This window comes from Homo sapiens, chromosome 20 (genome assembly GCF_000001405.40).
Source record: "Homo sapiens chromosome 20, GRCh38.p14 Primary Assembly".
NCBI lineage: Eukaryota > Metazoa > Chordata > Mammalia > Primates > Hominidae > Homo > Homo sapiens.
Genome location: NC_000020.11, coordinates 13,712,439 through 13,731,954, shown reverse-complemented (window position 1 = coordinate 13,731,954; position 19,516 = coordinate 13,712,439). Strand labels below are relative to the sequence as shown.

Below are 19,516 nucleotides of genomic sequence, written 5' to 3'. Positions count from 1 at the left end.
TGGGGGAAGGGCTGTGGAGCTTCCATGCCTCCCTGGGCGCTCCACCCTCCAGGAACCTCCATGTGTCCAGCTATCCAGAAGCTCTGTGAACTCGTTTCTCGGGTTTTTATGGAAGCTTCATGATGCCAGCATTCCTTCCCCACAACTACAGGGCAGGACCCTCTCTGGGGAAGGTCTTAAGATGCACAATTAGAAAGGTGAGGGAAGAGTACAGTCCTGCCCTTAAGACCGAACACAAAAGACTATAGCAAGGGCTAAGGAACTTATGAGCCAGAAACCATGTATGAAAATAATATATATGTAACACCACGTGGGGTAAGAGCCCTGCTCCCATTGATGTGCTAACTAACTCTCTTCTTCCCTAGAACTCCTTTTCAAACTCAGTAGGCAGTAAAATATCTTTTTTTTTTTTTTTTTTTTTTTGAGACCGAGTCTCGCTCTGTCGCCCAGGCTGGAGTCCAGTGGCCTGATCTCGGCTCACTGCAAGCTCCACCTCCCGGGTTCACACCATTCTCCTGCCTCAGCCTCCCGAGTAGCTGGGACTACAGGCGCCCGCCACCACACCCGGCTAATTTTGTTGTATTTTTAGTAGAGGCGGGGTTTCACCATGTTAGCCAGGATAGTCTCAATCTCCTGACCTCATGATCCTCCCGCCTCGGCCTCCCAAAGTGAGTAAAATATCTTATAAATGAAATAACTCCACAAGTGTTAAGCTATCAGTTTATTGGAGATGTCTCAAGTGGGCCCTCATGGGGTCAATAAAGTAGTCATTCTGAGAATTGTAGCAGCTATTCAGTTTGATTTTCATTTGCTGGGAGCTTCGAGTTTGTGCTTTTACTTTTTCCATTCATTTGGGCTAAGTCTGGACTCGTTGGTCAGCAGCATTCAAAATACATTGTTGAGTGTCCAGGGTGTTCTAGACCCTACAGTACTCAGTACCGGCCTTGACTCCAACAGATCCTTTCCAACTCCACAGGTTCTTTGTATATAGAAGAGTTTCAAGAATTTTCTTCAAGTTAAAAATATTTTTGCCCATTTGTTCCTCAGTGGTTTCAATTTTGATACTGAAAAATTATTACTGAAGAAATGAATACCTGATATATGCCGTGTTATCTAGTATTTTGATCTAGCTGTTGTTGAGATCTATAAAGCAGTTAAAGAAATGTGTTGAGTAGGTACATAGCAAATATTCTTTGTTAAAAGTATGTTACTGCTGAATCCATAAAATAGTTTGGTAAAAAAAAAAAAAAATTCTTAGAAGCGCTTGTTCTGGCTGGGTGCGGTGGCTCATGCTTGTAAACCCAGTACTTTGGGAGGCCGAGGCGGGCGGATCACAAGGTCAGGAGATCAAGACCATCCTGGCTAACACAGTGAAACCCCGTCTCTACTGAAAATACAAAAAAATTAGCTGGGCGTGGTGGCGGGCACCTGTGGTCCCAGCTACTTGGGAGGCTGAGACAGGAGAATGGCATGAATCCGGGAGGTGGAGCGTGCAGTGAGCCGAGATCGTGCCATTGCACTCCAGCCTGGGCAACAGAGTGAGACTCCGTCTCAAAAAAAAAAAAAAAAGCACTTGTTCTTGGCCAGGCGTGTTGGTTCACGCCTGTAATCCCAGCACTTTGGGAGGCTGAGGCAGGCGGATCACCTAAAGTTAGGAGTTCAAGACCAGCCTGCCCAACATGGTGAAACCCCATCTCTACTAAAAATACAAAAAATTAGCCAGGTGTGGTGGCAGGCGCCTGTAATCCCAGCTACTTGGGAGGCTGAGGTAGGCGAATCGCTTGAACCTGGGAGTCAGAGGTTGCAGTGAACTGAGGTCACGCCACTGCAAGCCAGCCTGGGCAACAAGAGCAAAACTCTTGTCTCAAAAAAAAAAGCCAGAAGCACTTGTTCTTAAAAGGACATTAATGTCAAAATAAATATTCTTTAGGGCTTTAGTGATTCTTTTTGCATGCAGGATGTTTAACAATAATGGCATTCTAAATATTTTTGTTTAAATGACTTGAGATGTTTTAGATTGCTAGAGATAAATTCAGTCTGGTTAGCCTGATCTTAGTTCACATGTGTTCTATTTATTGTATAGATTTGATTGCTTTATTTAAATTTGCTAATTTAGTAAAAAGTCTGTTCAAATTAGATTAGGAAAAATTTAACCAACAGACTTACTTAAAAATAGCCTGACAGTTTTTAGGGGTGGCTTATAGATAAAACAAGATAATTGTTAAAATTGGGCGATGAGAACAGAGGGTTCATTACATTGTCCTACTTTTGTGTATGTTTTAGATTTTCATAATAAAAATTCTTTTCTTTAACCAACAAATAAATTGTTGTAACTAATAATTTAAGAGATAATTCACAGTGCACTACTTCAAGTAATTCAGTCACTATCATTTTTCAGTTTTATGAGAGAAAATGCCACCTCCCATCACTGATCACCCATCTAAAAGTATTCTTCTCCTTCAGATCTTCTCCTTCAAATGTCTGCATCACTTTGTCCCTCCTAACCCTTCCTATCTTGAATTATTTTTATTTATGTATTTGTCTATTTATGTGTTTATGTGTCTGATTTCCTTTAATAGATGGTAAAATTTTTGAGGGCAGAAACCATGTATCTGATAACTTCCATTTCTCCCAAAAGGCCTACATGGTTTCCTGCATTTATTAAGTATTCTATATTTTTTGTTTGTTTGTTTGTTTTGAGACGGAGTCTCGCTCTGTCGCCAGACTGGAGTGCAGTTGCGCCATCTTGGCTCACTGCAACCTCCGTCTCCTGGGTTCAAGCGATTCTCCTGCCTCGCCTGCCAAGTAGCTGGGATTAGAGGTGCCCACCACCATGCCTGGCTAACTTTTGTATTTTTAGTAGAGATGGGGTTTCACCCTGTTGGCCAGGCTGGTCTCAAACTCCTGATCTCAAGTGATCTGCTCACCTCAGCTTCTCAAAGTGCTGGGATTACAGACATGAGTCACTGCACCCAGCCTCTATAATTATTTGTTGAACAAACAGAATAACTTAGGTGGGAGTTGTTTTATAAACTGGTCCATTTAAAAACTGGTTTACTTTTTTTTTCTTTTAATTATTTTTTTTTTTGAGATGGAGTCTCGCTCTGTTGCTCAGGCTGGAGTGCAGTGGCACGATCTCGGCTCACCACAACCTCTTCCTCCTGGGTTCAAGTGATTCTCCTGCCTCAGCCTCACGAGGAGCTGGGACTACAGGCATGCACCACCATGCCCAGCGAATTTTTTTGTATTTTTAGAAGAAATGGGGTTTCACTGTGTTGGCCAGGCTGGTCTCAAACTCCTGACCTCGTGATCCACCCGCCTTGGCCTCCCAAAGTGCTCAGATTACAGGCGTGAGCCACCACGCTTGGCCACTGATTTACTTTTAGATTGAACTACTTGGTTTAAAAGAAATGCATAGTTTTTCTTGGTATACATTTATTATAATTCTTGTAATAATGAAATTTTGTATTTTTATATTCAACTTTTAAGGCTCTTGCTGAAGAGGCCAGTGAAGAGGAACTTCCCTCTGATGTTGATTTGAATGACCCATACTTTGCTGAAGAAGTTAAACAAATAGGTAAGCCAGCTCATATCTGTAGTTTTCAACTGGAATCTAAAGAAAAAGGTGAGGTACATGGAAGCAATATAAACTAATCATTCTTTTAAAATTGCTAGTATTTGTGTAGCTCCCTTAGTGACATAAGCAAGTCTGTCCTGTGGCATACAGTCATTAATCTGATTGGGAAGGGTCAACTTGTCCCTTCTACATACAAGGGATAATTTTAATATAGGAGACTTTTGATAATGTGGTTAATAGTTTACTGGGGATTCCTTTCTGGGAAATATCCTTAGTGCCAGTCAGATCGACTCTATAAAAGAATGAGAGGAAATAGAAAGAGGAATAAATATTTTCTTGTGTACTTTCACTGATTTTTAATAGCGTATCCATTCTAGGTCCCTCTCAGCAAAGTCTATCAAGAATTAAAAGTATGAAACAAATTTGTTTTTATGTGCATGTTGATATGTGTATAATTTTTTTAAATTTATGCATGAAATTTCATATAAAAGCTTTTTCTGCTGAAACATACAAAAGCATCTATGTTTCATTTTATCCCTTTTGTACTCATTATGCTTAATTATAGCTAGAAAGCCAGCTTTCCTTACTCCTCTTTTTCCTTGAATCCCTAAATTATCTGGTATCTGATTTCCTATATCCAGGGAGCCTTGTTTCCACCTCATATGCACTACTCATTCTTTCTTTCCTCCATTATGTGGAGGAAATGCGTATGTGTAAATGTGTTTGGTAAGGTTCAGGCCATACTTGGTAAGTCAGTACAGAAATCACTGTAAGGATTTACCATTTGTTCTCATGCATTTTGCCTTCCCCGATCATTATACCACACACAAGAACCCCAAAAGGCTTGCTCCTGGAGCAACTCCACGCTGGCATTGTAAAGAGAAGGAGTTTATGAAGTTTCCCTGTTTTTTTCCCTTGTGACTAGTGGGCCAGAATAGTTCTCAACAGGAAAGTCAGAATTGCTCAAAATTACTTCCTGATTGTTACAGCTTTTTAGTACTGACATTTTATTGATGAGAAGGAGATTAAGATAAATAAAGTCTATTATAGAATGTGAGATTCTTGGGAATTGGACAGAGAAGTGGAAACTTAGCATATTCTGCTTTTTATCATACCTGAGTGGTCATTTCTAGAAGATGATGGATTTTAGCCTTATCCTCTGGTTTCAGGAAACCAACTTTATAATGGAGAAATGCTAAGCATTATAGTTTCCTTGTTCTCTATCCAAAATGTTTCCTTTGGCATGTGAAGTCTGGTCAAATTGCAGAACTCAGAATAGGATTCAAAGAATAAGTTAAATGGTTTGATGGCTTGGGGTAGCCAGTTTTTTGGAATCAACACATTTAAATTGAGAGTAAGCTTTCTGTAAAGTTATTATCAGAAGTTCCAAAGAAAAAAGGTATAGATAAAATTTGCTTGCTTATAATTTACTTTTGATTTCAGAGTGTTCCCAGAGGGTAATTGTTTCTATCTGGGCTTTTCTGTTTTTGTGTGTGTGTTTTGCAGTGGGTTTTGTTTTGTTTTGTTTTGTTTTGTTTTGTTTTGAAAAAGCAAAACAGCAAGGCCAGAATTTTTTACATAAAATTTAGGACAAAAAGCTAGTGTCTTGCCATGTTTGTTTATTCATTCTGTAATAACTGTTTTGATTGCCTACCAGGTGCTGAGCTCTCTGCTAGGCTAGAGATACAGTAGTGATAATACAAACAGGATTGCATCCCTCATGGAGTCTGGTTTAAAGAAAGACATGTTAGACAGATAAATAGTATGAGGGTATGGTAAATGTTTTCAAGGAAAGAAATAGAAGATATAACTGGATAGAAGTAGGAGATATGGGAGTTTACATTGGGTAGGCAAAGAAGGCTTCTCTGAGATGATGGCATTAGAGCTGAGACCTGTGGAATGAGGAGTCAGGCATGAAGAGCTGGGGGAAGAGCATTGCAAATGAGGGGAGAGTGGGTAGAAAGACTCCAAGGTGAGAATGCACTGTGTGGTGTTAAGAATTGAAAGACATCAGTGTGGCTGGAGCATTGTCGGAGAGGGAATTGGTATGAGGACAGGCTGGAGACTCAGTGGAAACTACCCCTGTAGGGCTTTGTTGTCCTGACAACAAATTTAGATTTTACTTTACTGATAGTGGAAAGCCCAAACAGTCTTTAAGCAAAGATGAGACATAATCTGGTATAGATTAACATATTACTCTGGTGCCTGTGAAGAGAACAGTTTGAGGACTGGTGAGGGCTGGAAGACCAGACTTTTGCCGAGCTCTAGACCAAAGATAATGGTTGTTTACCTGGCATGCCGCTCGTGGAATTGGATGGAGAAGAGAATGGAACTCTAGATATACTTTGGAAGTATACTTGCTAAATCAGGAAGAAATTTAGCATAACTTCTGTTTTTGGTTTGAGTCTATGGAAGAATGTTCTTCCATTTACTGAGGAAGAAATGTGGAAACAATAAGTTTGAGTGGGAAGCAAAGTAAATACGTCCATTTGTGGTATAATCACTTTGAGATGTCAATTAGATATACAAATGGAGGTGTTTGGTTGATATTGAGATATAAGTCTGAGAGATGAGCAGAGAAATCAGAGTACAAATATAGAGTTAAGGATCAGTAGCATGTAAATAGTACTTCAAACCATGGCAGTGCGAGTAGAGAGCAGTGATAAGAGAAGAGGATGCAGGATGGGCCCTAAGGTCAGGTGAAGTCCACATGAGGCACTGTTAATCTGTCATACTGGAGGAAGTGCTACCTGAAAGGATGGGAAAAGCTTAAGAAGCTGAGAAGCGGCGGCTGGGAAATAGGAGGAACAGTATTAATGTAGTGGCTCACAGACACTTGGTGAGGTGGTAGAGGTTTCAGTAGATTAGTGTGGGTTAAAGTTTGAGGTGAAAGGTAAGGAAGTAGAGACCAAGAATGTAGATCTTTTTTCAGAAGTTTCACTGTGAAGGGGAGCAAAGACGTGGAGCAGTACCTGAATGTAGGTAAGGAGAAGGTATTTTTTTAAAGATATGAGCTTTTAGGGCATGTTTTCTTTCCCTTGGGATTGTTCCAACAGAAAAGAAGTTACTAAGATACAGAAAATGGGGGAAATAAAAGTAAATACAAATGCAGATAAATTTGTATATTTGGTGGCAGAAGGATGAGGGATTTACCTGATTGGTTTATGGATTTATACTGTTTGTTCATTCACTTGCAGAAGCACAGATAATCTGCATGAGCAGATAGGGTAGGGACGTAGAAACAGGTCACTGGAGGGGGCAGGGTGCAGGAGGTTACTGCCTAAGGCGGTTGATTCAATTAATTGTCAATTTTAAGGAGAGTGTTCAGGTCTGGATGGCTGAAAATGGAGAAAGATGGGGCGTATAAATTTGAAGGCCAGGCCAGATACAAAACCATAGAACATGTGGCAAGAGCAGCGGTATGGGAGGCCTAGGCAGAGAAAGAGAGAACCAGCTGAGCCACAAAAGGAGCATGTCCCTTTTAAATCATGCTGGACATGGCTTTTCAAAGGCACATTACAAAGCTGTGTGCCCCCATTCATGTACGTGGTTATTCAGTCAACAATTATTGAGTGTCAGAATCACCCAGTCCTCCCATATGACTTTCAGCATGTTACAAAATATTTAAATATATGAGAATGATACAGTTTTCCCATACTTTACATTTTAATCTGACTTCCTATGGTATAACTGGACTTTTAAAATATGTGTTAGATATATATCATGTATATGCTCAAATAGATGGATTTAATGAGAAGTTTTTACTCAATTCTGAACCTTTTCCTCCCCAGCAAAAACTAAATTTGTGCTTAACAGTATCCAGAAGACATAAGGAAGAATATATTGAATGTTAACATTTTGTACTCATGATCCAGGAGGATGGTTTTAAGGATAGGTGGAAGCATGCTTATAACCTCAGGGAAATGGATTCCCATAGGGAGTCAGGAAGAAGTTGGAAGTTTTTTGTGTGCCTTCCAGATATAAGGATCTGTAGTAGGTACTCTTAAAGAGAGTTGGACTTTGGTTCAAAATTTACCAGTTTGTAATTTTTATTTTATTTTTATTTTATTTATTTATTTTTTTGAGACGGAGTCTCACTGTGTCGCCCAGGCTGGAGTGCAGTGGCGTAGTATCTGCTCACCACAGCCTCTGCCTCCTGGGTTCAAGCGATTCTCCTGCCTCAGCCTCCCAAGTAGCTGGGACTACAGGTGTGTGCCACTGTGCCCAGCTAATTTTTGTATTTTTAGTAGAGACAGGGTTTCACCATGTTGGCCAGGCTGGTCTTGAACTCCTGACTTCAGGTGATCCGCGCGCCTCGGCCTCCCAGAAGTGCTGGGATTACAGGCGTGAGCCACCACACCCAGCCAGTTTGTAATTTTTAAAATGTAGAAATAAAATAACTCAGATGACCTACATTGGTATATTAATTTATTACTACAGTGTTGCCTTCATTATTAGTTTGTCAAAATAATTTTAGATTTTAGTACCTGGTGGAAGTAAAATATAGTCATTATCTAAGGATATAGACCTTGCTTTTCAAAAATATTTAAGATATAATGAATTTGGCACACTAGTGTTTTCAGTGTACAGTTCAAGTTCTGTAGTTAAACAGGACAAAAACATTGTAAACCAGATGACTTGGGTACATTTATAACATTTTTGCTCTAGGCAATCCCATAGAGCTAAACTTATGTGCCTTCAAAATGTGGAGGAAATGAGTTCATTGATGCCAGACCTGGCGTTTGGCTCAGATTAGGTGCCAGGGTGAATGTTAGAGATCTTTTATAATTTTTTCTTCTATCTTTTATAATTTTTTCTTTGATTTCCTTCTAAATTGCAAACTTGGTGTCAAATGAGAGTTTTAAAAATATCATCTAGGATGAGCACATTAATGAGCTGAAAATGAAATGAAATATTAGAAAAATCTGCTAATTTTCCAGTGGTAGCTGGTAGAATCTGAGTCCTAGTGGGCTTCCCTTTATTTTTTGTAATTTTACAACATTGTAAAGCAGCACCAGAATGTGGTAGCCTAGAGGGAGATTAACCCTAGAGGGAGATTATCCTTAACAGACTGCATCTGATTATGGGCAAGTGATGCAGGAACTTGGTACAAAAGAGTAAATCACTAGGGCGCTTACCACTCCCATCTGGTCAGTACTGAGACCACATCCATCTGCCCTCCAGTGAACTTTCTTAGCTTCTCTCATATGAATTGCTCAACTAAACCCTCTGGAGGAAGTTTATTATGGGAACAAGTCTCTGACATTATAAGTAATGGGAAATGAAATTTCCTTTACAGATGAATTTTATTTTTACACACTATCTTTTTCCATGGATGTATTCTGTTACATTTTTTGCCTAAAAGGATTCTAGCCTCAGTAAGGATTGGTTAGATTTATTTAACTGTAAAACTCTAATATCTGACTCGGAGTCTCTGTTAGTATTGACTTAATAGAATCAATCCATATGTATTTTTTGCAGCAGTCCCAGGAGATGTAGTTTCTTTTTTTTTTCTTCTTTTTTTGACAGCATTTTGCTCTGTCACTCAGGGTGGAGTGCACAGTGGTGCTATTATGGCTCACTGCAGCCTCGAACTCTCCTGGGTTCAAGTGATCCTCTTGCCCCAGCCTCCCAAGTAGCTGGGACTGCAGGCATACACCACCATGCCTGGCTAATTTAAAAAAAAAAAATGTGGAGCTGGGGTCTTGCTTTGTTGCTCAGGCTGGTCTCAAACTCCTGGCTTCAAGCAATCTTCCTCCTTCAGCCTTCCAAAGTGCTGGGATTATAGGTGTGAGCTACCACACCCAGCTAGAGATGTGGTTCCTTACTTGACAAAAGATTGACTGAAAAATAAAGACAATATTTTAGAACACAAACTTTCATTTCCCTAGTACTGTTCATCTAACTTAAGTCTGAAATTTTTCCAGGGAGGAAAAAATGTTTTTTAAAAAAATATAGATGTGATCTCTTAATATTTGATCTTATTAACAGTGCAGAAATCATCTGTATGCATTGTTTATCTTTTCACTAAACAATTCAGTCTAACATCATAGTAAATTCTTTGTTAGCAAAGAAATTTTCTTCATGCTAAAACCGGATATCATGTTTAGCCCTATCTTGGGGATTTTTTTTTCTTTCTCCCTTATTACAGTCCTCCTTTCAAGTTTATTTTTAAGACTCTTCACCAGGTTGTTATAAAATCTGAAATAGTTTATTGTGGGCTTTTTGAAATTATTTTCCACAGCTGTATGTGAAGATCTTTATCTGCTTTAAATATTAATTATATACAGTCTAATTTTCTCCCTGCTACAGAATAATATTTTGCATATGTCATTTGTCCATTCATTTCAAAAGGAGCTCTTGGCTTGAGAGCATAGGAGCAGTGGTAAATTTAGGGAATGGGGGGTTCATACCCTAAGCAAGTGGAACCTTGATGATATTTATATGTGTAAGGACATACACATACATTAAGACAGAGAAAGATTATACTCTTAAGATTCGTATATTATTCCCTGAAAAAAATTTCAGATAGGACCAGTGATGAGGAGCATTTTCTCTAGGGAGAAGGGCTGCATACAATAAATATTTCTTCTTGGAAGTGCAAAACAAATGGCTTGGTAGCACTGATAGGCAAGCCTGGCAGCACTTTTATGCTGGCATGTTCTCTTGGCTGGGCATGTCTACTGGACAGGTGTGCAAGAGTATTCGCAGGGACTTAATACACACAGAGGAGTTTCTAAAGCCTCTTTTGACTTTAGGTTTTGCTTATCATGTTACCCCATTAGCTGCAATTCTTCAACCATCTTGACCATTCCCTTCTCCTGCCACACCCTTCTTCAGGTGTTCTCACATATCACCTCCCTCGCTTCATCCAGGTCATTGTTTGTGTGTCACCTTCTTGAAGAGGCCTTCCTTAACTACCCTAACAAAACCAGCCCCCTCATTCAGTCTCCAACCCTTCTGTCCTGCTTTGCCTCTGTCTTTCCCAACGTGAAGGTATACTACATGAGAGACGATTTTAACCTCTTGTTCACGGCTTGTGTCACCAGCACCTGGAGCTGTGATCGCAACATAATAAGTGCTCAGTTAACATTTGTGAGATAGGCGAAATAATTTCCTTCTGTTTATTGACCATTTGGTTTTGTCTGTGAATTCTCTTTGCTCTGTGTTAATATTTTCATTTACATGAAATCTTTATAAGTGAAAGATATTAGTATTATAATAGAAGCAGTCATTTCTTTTCTTTTTTTTTATCGAGACAGAGTCTCGCTCTGTTGCCCAGGCTGGAGTGCAGTGGCACAATCTCTGCTCACTGCAACCTCTGCCTCCCAGATTCAAGCAATTCTCCCGCCTCAGCCTCCCTAGTAGCTGGGACTACAGGTGCTGGCCACCACGCTTGGCTAATTTTTTTGTATTATTAATAGAGACAGAGTTTCACCATGTTGGCCATGCTGGTCTCAAACTCCTGACCTCAGGTGATCCACCCACCTCGGCCTCCCGAAGTGCTGGGATTACAGGTGTGAGCCACTGCGCCCAGCCGTTTCTTGTTTTTAATTATGAAAATTTATACATTGAGAAAAATTGAGAGAATAATACAGTGAACAGCACCTGTGTTTGGCAGTTGTTAACATTTTGCCATTTTACTTTTGTATGCATATACTTTTATGGTATATCATAAAAATGTATTTATACAAGATGTTACTATATAATAGACATATTTAATAGTAGTCTTTTTAGTTCACTATAGTCTAGAAGATACCATATACACTTCCCCCTCCCATAACATTTGCCTTTCAAGAACCCAGGCTAGTGATCTTTTGGAATGTCTTATATTCTAGATGTATCTGTTCCTTGCCACTCGGTCCACTATATTTTCCATAAACTGGAAGTTAGACGAGTGGTTCCATTAGATTCATGTTGAATGGTTTTGGCAAGCATACTTCATAGGCAATGCTTATCTTTCATATTATATCACATCTAGGGGCATAGGATTTCATATTGTTCCAAAGATGACTTGCTGAGGGTGGTACAGTGCCCAGCGGGGGATTTTCTTAGGCTCTCTAGGTGGTCAAACAAAAGGCTTGAGTGGGTCACACTTGGCTCTCATGGGTAGTTAGCCCAGGAAACACAGCAGGGCAGTATTGGGTGTTTCTCTTCATCGAGTCTTCACGGCAGTTCACTCAGCAGTACAGCTTGGGTACAAGGAAAGGAGACACAGTGTACAGTAGTCACCCTGGGCGAGAAGTCTCATGTTCCAAATAGGAACTGAGAGCTTTTTAACAGCACCTAGACATAGCTTCCAGATCCCTGTTTTACCAGTTACAGGAGTCACGGTATCAAGGAAGCCCAAAGTTATAAGCATTTAGAGACCCCAATACATGTTATTTTCCAGTCAGGAACCACTTTACCTGGTGGTATTGCCTGGTAATAGAGCTAGAAAGTTCACTAAAGATCAGATTTGTCTTCAGAGAAGGAGAAAGCGTTTTTTAAAACTTATATTTACAGGTAGTGACTGTCAAATTATTATTATAAAGATAAGTTTTTTCATTTTGCAGATGAGAGTTTGATATATAGTGTTGAGTTTATATATTCAAATCACTTGGGGGTTTTTTCTTTGTCTCTTCCAGTATTCTTATGCTAAGAAAATATTTCTTCTATTTAAGATACAGTAGCTGTTCCCTTGTATTTTCTCATAGGGGTTCTTTGTTTTATTTTGTTTGATATTTAACTCTTAAATTCACCTGCGTTTTATTTTCTTATGTATTATGAGATAAGGCTTTAATTTGATCTTTTTTTCCAGAATGAAACAAATTGCTCAACAGCAGTTATTAAACAATCTTTTCTGTTTCTAATGATGATGCTATATTTTATTATATACTGTTTCATCATTTTTATTGTGTAGGAATTTTTTGGTTATTTTCACTTTTCAGTACACGTTAATACACTATGTCACTAGTACATGGAATCTATGTAATCTTTCTAAAGATTTCCTTGAATGGAATTTTTTATTTAGAATTTCATTAAATGTGTATACTACTTTTATTATGAATGGATGTTGAATGTTAATCAGTATTCTTATGTTTATGGACATGCTTATTCTGTATCTGTGGAAATGATCTATGGTTTTTCTTTTTTAATTGGTAATGTAAATTATACATTACTTTGAAAGAAATTCTTCCTTTGTAACATGCAGTCACTCCATGCAGAAGCATTGTATTTATTCCATTCATATACCCACAGTCTTCTTTCAGTAACGTGTTTTTTTCTTTTAGTTTCAACACATTTATTGTTAAGATTATTCCTAGATATCTTATATTTTTGTTCCTAGTATAAACAGAATGTTGCTGATAGTCCTGTAATTTTTACCACTCTTATGTTGGTTTGTTGTGCCAGGTATAAATAAAAAATCGGTAAAATCTGCAAAAGATGGCACATCTCCAGAAGAAGAAATTGAAATAGAAAGACAAAAGGTAAAATACGATTATTGTTACATGCTTAGTGGATAATTCATAGGTACAATTTAAATGAAGTTGTACATGTCACTAATTTTAAAAAACAACTTATTTTAGCAGTGGCATTTATAACTAAATTGTAAGAGACATAATTAAATATTTTAGCAGTGTAGTTTCTAAATACAGTGTTTTTTTTACCAAACATAATTTCTCCAAATTGTACAAAGTTAAAATTAACCTCAAATTCAAGGGTATTTATTTTCTTTTATAAATTAAGAGGGAATTATCTCACTTTTAAAAACACTTACTATACCTGAGGCAGAAAATACCCTTAAAACCTCAAAATAATATTGCCATAAGTTTTAATTCAATCTGAATCTGTCCTGGAATACAGTTTGTGGTTATGGTTTGTCAAATGCAAATTTCTGTTTTTCTTATTGTGAATATGTATATTTAACGTACAAAATTACATTCTTGGAAATGCAGTGAACCTTATGCTTCAGTGACCCCCTATGTCCAGAGTCACACGTAATTTTGGCACAGAGTCATATGTGATTTTGCTGAGGCAGGAATTGAAGGCAGCAGTGCCCCTAGGGCTGATGTTCATGTCACTGTCCAGAAGTGTGCCTGACTGGCCACATAAAGTTATCTAAAGAGCAACAAAGAAAATCAATTTTTATGGAAAATGTCTCTGAAAAGCCAGCTAAAAGTGCCAGTGACAAAAGGAAATTAAGGCAGTCTAAAGTGGTAATATAGGAAGATCCACAAAGGTCGAGAGCATACTCTGTATTTTTACTAGTGTACATGGTTATTTACTTGATTCTTGAGGGTTCTCGTTTAATCCCATGGCTGGTAGAAAATACCCGTTTAGTGTAAAAAGACATTTACTAGATTTCAGAAGCAGATCCTAAGGTCCTACCTTCATAGAAATGTATCAGTATTGAAACAGTAAAGGCCAAAAAAAAAAAAGCAAAAAAAAAACTTACTTGTTAAAAGTTACACATTTAGAAAGTATAATTTGCATCACAAAATAAACATTTGCTAGATTTAGCATCATTGCGCAAAAAGAACAAAGTGAAAATGAGAACTTTTTATTTGAGGGTAGTTGGGGACTCTTGTTCCTGCAGCCTACTAATGAGTCACACTAAGTGAAATGGGGCCTGGTTTTTAACTACAAGGTTTTACCTCTCCTGCTCTCAGTAATGTTGCTTCCAGAGATTCTACCTTATTGCTATACAAAGATCTCTTTGTTTTGGTAATCCACAGTCAGTTTACAGACAACAGGTGGTACCCCAGAGTTCTAGTGATTGAGTCTTCCTTTCTAGAAGAGATATCTTCTGCCCTATACTCCTTTTTGGGGGTGGAAAAAAAAGCACTGTTGTACATTTGAACTTTTTTTTGCTCTCTACAGGCTGAAATGGCTTTGCTTATGATGGATGAGGACGAGGACAGTAAGAAACACTTCAATTACAACAAGATTGTGGAGCACCAGAATCTGAGCAAAAAGAAGAAAAAGCAGCTCATGAAAAAGAAGGAATTAATAGAGGATGACTTTGAGGTAACCATAGACACCAGGCATAGCCTCTTAAAGCTGGAATTGAATCTAAAGTCAGCTCTGCAGATAGAAATTGAGCATAGTCAAAGTTACCCTTGAAAATGTCTTAGGGGCCCGGTGCAGTGGCTCACGCCTATAATCCCAACACTTTTTTGGAGGCCGAGGCATGAGGATCACTTGAGTCCAGGAGTTGGAGACCAGCCTGGGCAACATAGTGGGACCCTCATCTCTATGAAAAATAAAAAAAATTAGCTGGCTGGGCGTGGTGGCTCATGCCTGTAATCTCAGCACTTTGGGAGGCTGATGTGGGCAGATCACGAGGTCAGGAGGTCAAGACCATCCTGGCTAACACGGTGAAACCCCATCTCTACTAAAAATACAAAAAATTAGCCAGGCGTGGTGGCGGGCACCTGTAGTCACAGCTACTCAGGAGGCTGAGGCAGGAGAATGGCGTGAACCCAGGAGGCGGAGCTTGCAGTGAGCCGAGATCTCGCCACTGCACTCCAGCCCAGGTGACAGAGCAAGACTCTGTCTAAAAAAAAAAAAAAAAAAAAAAAAAAAAAAAATCCAGGTATAGTGGCGCACACCTGTAGTCCCAGCTACTCAGGAGGCTGAGGTGGGAGGATCGCTTGAGTCCAGGAGGTCAAGCCTGCAGTGAGCCATGATTGTGGCACTGCACTCCAGCCTGGGCAACAGAACAAGACCCTGTCTCAAAAAAAAAAAAAAAAGAAAAAAAAAGAAAATGTCTTCAGAAAGACTGATGGTGGAGCCAAAGGCTACTGTCTTTTAATCCAGCACAGCCAGTTCATCCTAGGGTGGATGAAATCATTGTTTCTTTGGTTGAGCACCAGGTGAAATAGTTGACTTGTATTTTGGTAGCCATATTGTACCAAAAATGTGTAGTTTTTAATGTTAGAATCACATGTAGTGATCCTCAGACCAGCAAAGGTATGCTTGAATAGCAGGTTCATGTCACAGTGGGTCACACTCACTGTGTGCAGTGGCCAGCGCAGTAAGCCATGTTTTTTCAGTTGCTGTGTTTTTTGTTTCCATTACTCCTTCCTCTTTTTGTTGAGTACATATTCCTAATGGCTGCAGAGTCCCCTAAGCATGAGTTTGAGCCGTCTACCAAAAATCTACAAACAGCTGTTAGAAACTGCTTAATGACTTCCAACCATTAATGTGGAAGAACTGACCCTGAGTAAGATGGGGGAAATTTGGGAAATTTTAAATTTGTTCAAACAATGGAGGGTAGCATACAGATGGCTTCTAAGTAGCATATAGAAGGATTTGGGGGCTACTCTGTAGCTTCTGTTGTTTGAGTCAGTTTCACATATGCTCCCATTCCAGTTAGGTTTTTATTGAGTTACTTTCCTTATGAAAAGCAAAGAATGATTTGTAGTCATTCTGCCTTCATATATTAATATATGCATAAAAGTATTTTTTACAGGATTTTTTTCCTTGTTCTGGGTATCAAATCCCTTGGCCTCGTGATAACTAAGTAAAGCTACAATCTATCTCCAGGTGGACTTGTATTTCGTGTGTTTCCCTTTCTGCTGGTTACCCATCTGCCTGGCAGCCCTCAAAGGCTGGCTGCAGTTAAGGGTATATTCTTAAACATGGAACCACAAGTTTTTATAGAAAGAAGATAAATCTGGGGCTTGTGTCTGACCAGACCTTGATCTCAGATGGATTATTTGCCATAGTGGTCTTTAAATCTTTTGATCCATGGATCACCTTCAATAGTTCCTTATTTTGGCACCAAGATTAAAATTTCTTAACATGTACTCAGAGTTCAGGGCCTCCAGCAGATGTTCTGATTGGCTTATTTATGCTGGTAAGAAATTGATTTTGTGCTGTAAGCATGGGAAAGCCCTGCCTCACAAACCACTGCTACAGTCATTTTGTCTAAGTGGTCGTTGTAGTTACCGGCCATAATATGTATATGTATGGCCCACTATAATTCCCTTTGAAATACATTGTCCTTGCATGATAAGAACAGGGTGCCCCACAAGTTGTGGTCCAAAGGTAGGCCATAAAGAGCTATGGAAAAACAGTTTCCTAATGAATCAGTACAAACACTCAGGTTTGTATTTTATATAATCAACTCACCAACTTTCGAAATTTGGCCCCATTTCTGGCCTTTTGCTTTAGTAATTTTGTTTAATTAATTTATTAATTTTTTTTTTTTTTGGATTTGCAGGTAAATGTTAACGATGCACGGTTTCAGGCAATGTACACTTCCCACTTGTTCAATTTGGACCCCTCAGATCCCAATTTCAAGAAAACAAAAGCTATGGAAAAAATCCTTGAGGAGAAGGCCCGGCAAAGAGAACGGAAAGAACAAGAACTTACTCAGGCAATAAAGAAAAAAGAGAGTGAGATTGAAAAGGAATCACAAAGGAAGTCCATTGATCCTGCTTTGTCAATGTTGATTAAATCTATAAAAACCAAAACAGAGCAGTTTCAAGCAAGAAAAAAGCAAAAAGTCAAATAACTGGATGTTACTTATTTTTGAACTGAATACATCTTTTCCTAAAATGTACAAAAATAATAGGAGGGAATATTTATTGGGAACAAAGCTATCTTTCAAGAACATGAATAAAATCTTTTTCTGGACATAGTAAAATTTTTCTCCATAAATAATTGTACTTAATTGTGGATGACTGACAAATTTTTATTGTATATTCCTACAGATCAGTCATAATTAAATTACCTGCATTATAGGGTTTATAAAATTTTTATATTTTACAATGTTCAGTTCTAACTAGTGGAAAGTTACTCTAGCTTTTTAAAAGGCTGTTTACAATTCTGTGTAAAAATAGAGCAGTATCTACTCAAGTTTGTGTAAATGTTAGGGATAATTTGAAAAATATATATATTTAATACATTAATTTCTCTGGAAGCAGGAGGCATGTTTAAATAACTATTAAAATAATTTATTTTTCTAGCCATAAAGGATGGAAGTCAAGAACTTTTTGTTGTTTAGTCATGTTAAGTATAGTTTATGAAATTAACTTGTAAATAAAAGTGTAAAATATTTTCATTATTTTGTATAGCACTGATTTATTCCATTTTATGCATCTCAAAGTACTCTCTGGAAAAATATCTGAAAACCGATTTTAACTTTTTAAGAGGACAACTCCATTTAAAGGCAGTTCTAGAGTTGCATTGCTCGTAAATTGCATTTGAAATATTCATGAGCTCTCCAGTGGTTTTTCTGTTTGGTAGCAACAGAAAAGTCTTCTGTCTGTCCTTCACATTTTTGGAATACTTTAGAAGGATGGATATGCTGCTGTAGAGTTTAAGGATACCTTAATTCTTCTTAAAATTAAAACACATCTTTAAGGCCTTAACACTCTTGGATCTCATCTGGTCTAAATATTATAGACAACTGACAGTCAAATTAGATATGCTGTATAAGTAAATGTAAATAAAACCAGACTTGTAACTTGGAGCAAATTATAAATATGGTAACTTCTGAAAGACAACAGGAATTTGACCAGGTTTGTGGTTAAACTTGACATTTGGGGTATTAAAAATCAAACCTACTGACCAGGCAAGGTGGCTCTCACCTGTAATCCCAGCACTTTGGGAGGCTGAGGCAGGAGAATTGCTTGAGGCCAGGAGTTTTGAGACCAACCTGGGCAATATAGTAAGACCATAGGCTGGGTGTGGTAGCCTACGCCTGTAATCCCCCCACTTTGGGAGACTGAGGCAGGCACATCACTTGAGGTCAGGAGTTCAAGACCAGGCTGGCCAACACAGTGAGACCCCCCATCTCTACCGAAACTACAAAAAATTAGCCGGGCGTGATGGTGCATGCCTGTAGTCCCAGCTACTCAGGAGGCTGAAGCAGGAGAATCACTTGAACTTGGGAGGCAGAGGTTACAGTGAGCCGAGATTGAGCCACTGCACTCCAGCCTGGGCAACAGGAGACCCTGTCTCAAAATATATATATATACACGTCTGTGTGTGTGTGCGCGCACGCGTGCGTATAACAAGCCAAGTGTGGTGATACATACCTGTGGTCCTTGCTACTCAGGAGGCTGAGATGGGAGGATCATATGAGCCCAGGAGTTTGAGTTTACAGTAAGCTGTGATTGTATCACTGCATTCCAGCCTGGGTGACAGAGCAAGACCCTGTCTCTATTTAAAAAAAAAAAAAAAAAGTCACCAATGTAGCATATATTTTAAAGACTAAAATGATGGAAAACTCAGAGTGATATCAAAATAATAAGGGAGTATAAATAGTCTCTGTAAAGGGAAGAAAAAAAGGACATTTAAATTGCTTATTATAACAGAAAAATGCACAGTATCCAAACAGGGAATTGATTTTATCATAAGCACTGATCGTTGGATTATTCAGCCAAATAAAACATTATTTCTTTAGATACATCTGTGAACTCCCCATATTACCACTGAAAGGTCATGAATCTTAATATGTTTATGAGTATGGTCTATAAACAGATTTATGTTTCATATTTCATTCTCTGCAGGGGAAAAGTTTTGTTCTCTTTAAACTGTTTAATCATAATGTAGTAATTGCACAAAAATTCAAAATCAGAGTCTGATTTTAAGGTTTCTGTGAACCTGAGCCATTGGGTTTGGTTTTTCTGTTTTTGAGCCCGTTAAGTCACTGCATTTAATTGTAAAATCTCATTTTACTAGTCAAGCACATAATTATAACAAAAAAATTGAGTACATAAGTCATACAGAGCCCTGGCTCCTTTTCTCAAAGAGTTGATATTTTTTAGGTAGGAAAAAAAATGAGAACAGCATTATCAGGCGTTAAATATTCTACACCAATAACTTTAGGGTTCTCAAATTATTGCAGGTAGTGAAATTTAGGATTAAAAAGTGGCCACTATCATAATTCAGCAAACAAATTAGGGGAGTTTTGGTGGGTCTTAAGGTCACATTTAGTTGGAG

The 19,516-nt window shown here is 38.4% G+C and overlaps 1 protein-coding gene across 3 annotated transcripts in view; it reads left to right on the top strand.

Moving 5' to 3' along the window:
• The window catches only part of ESF1 (ESF1 nucleolar pre-rRNA processing protein), a 70,595-nt gene extending 52,965 nt beyond the window's left edge, over positions 1-17,630 (top strand). For all 3 annotated transcript variants that reach the window (NM_001276380.2, NM_016649.4, XM_017027874.3), the window contains exons 11-14: positions 3,490-3,577; positions 12,971-13,047; positions 14,441-14,587; positions 16,788-17,630. In NM_001276380.2, the coding sequence (NP_001263309.1) occupies positions 3,490-3,577; positions 12,971-13,047; positions 14,441-14,587; positions 16,788-17,081 (606 nt within the window). In that variant the 3' untranslated portion in view covers positions 17,082-17,630. The remainder of the gene's footprint in view (positions 1-3,489; positions 3,578-12,970; positions 13,048-14,440; positions 14,588-16,787) is intronic.
• The last annotated feature ends 1,886 nt before the right edge of the window (positions 17,631-19,516 follow it).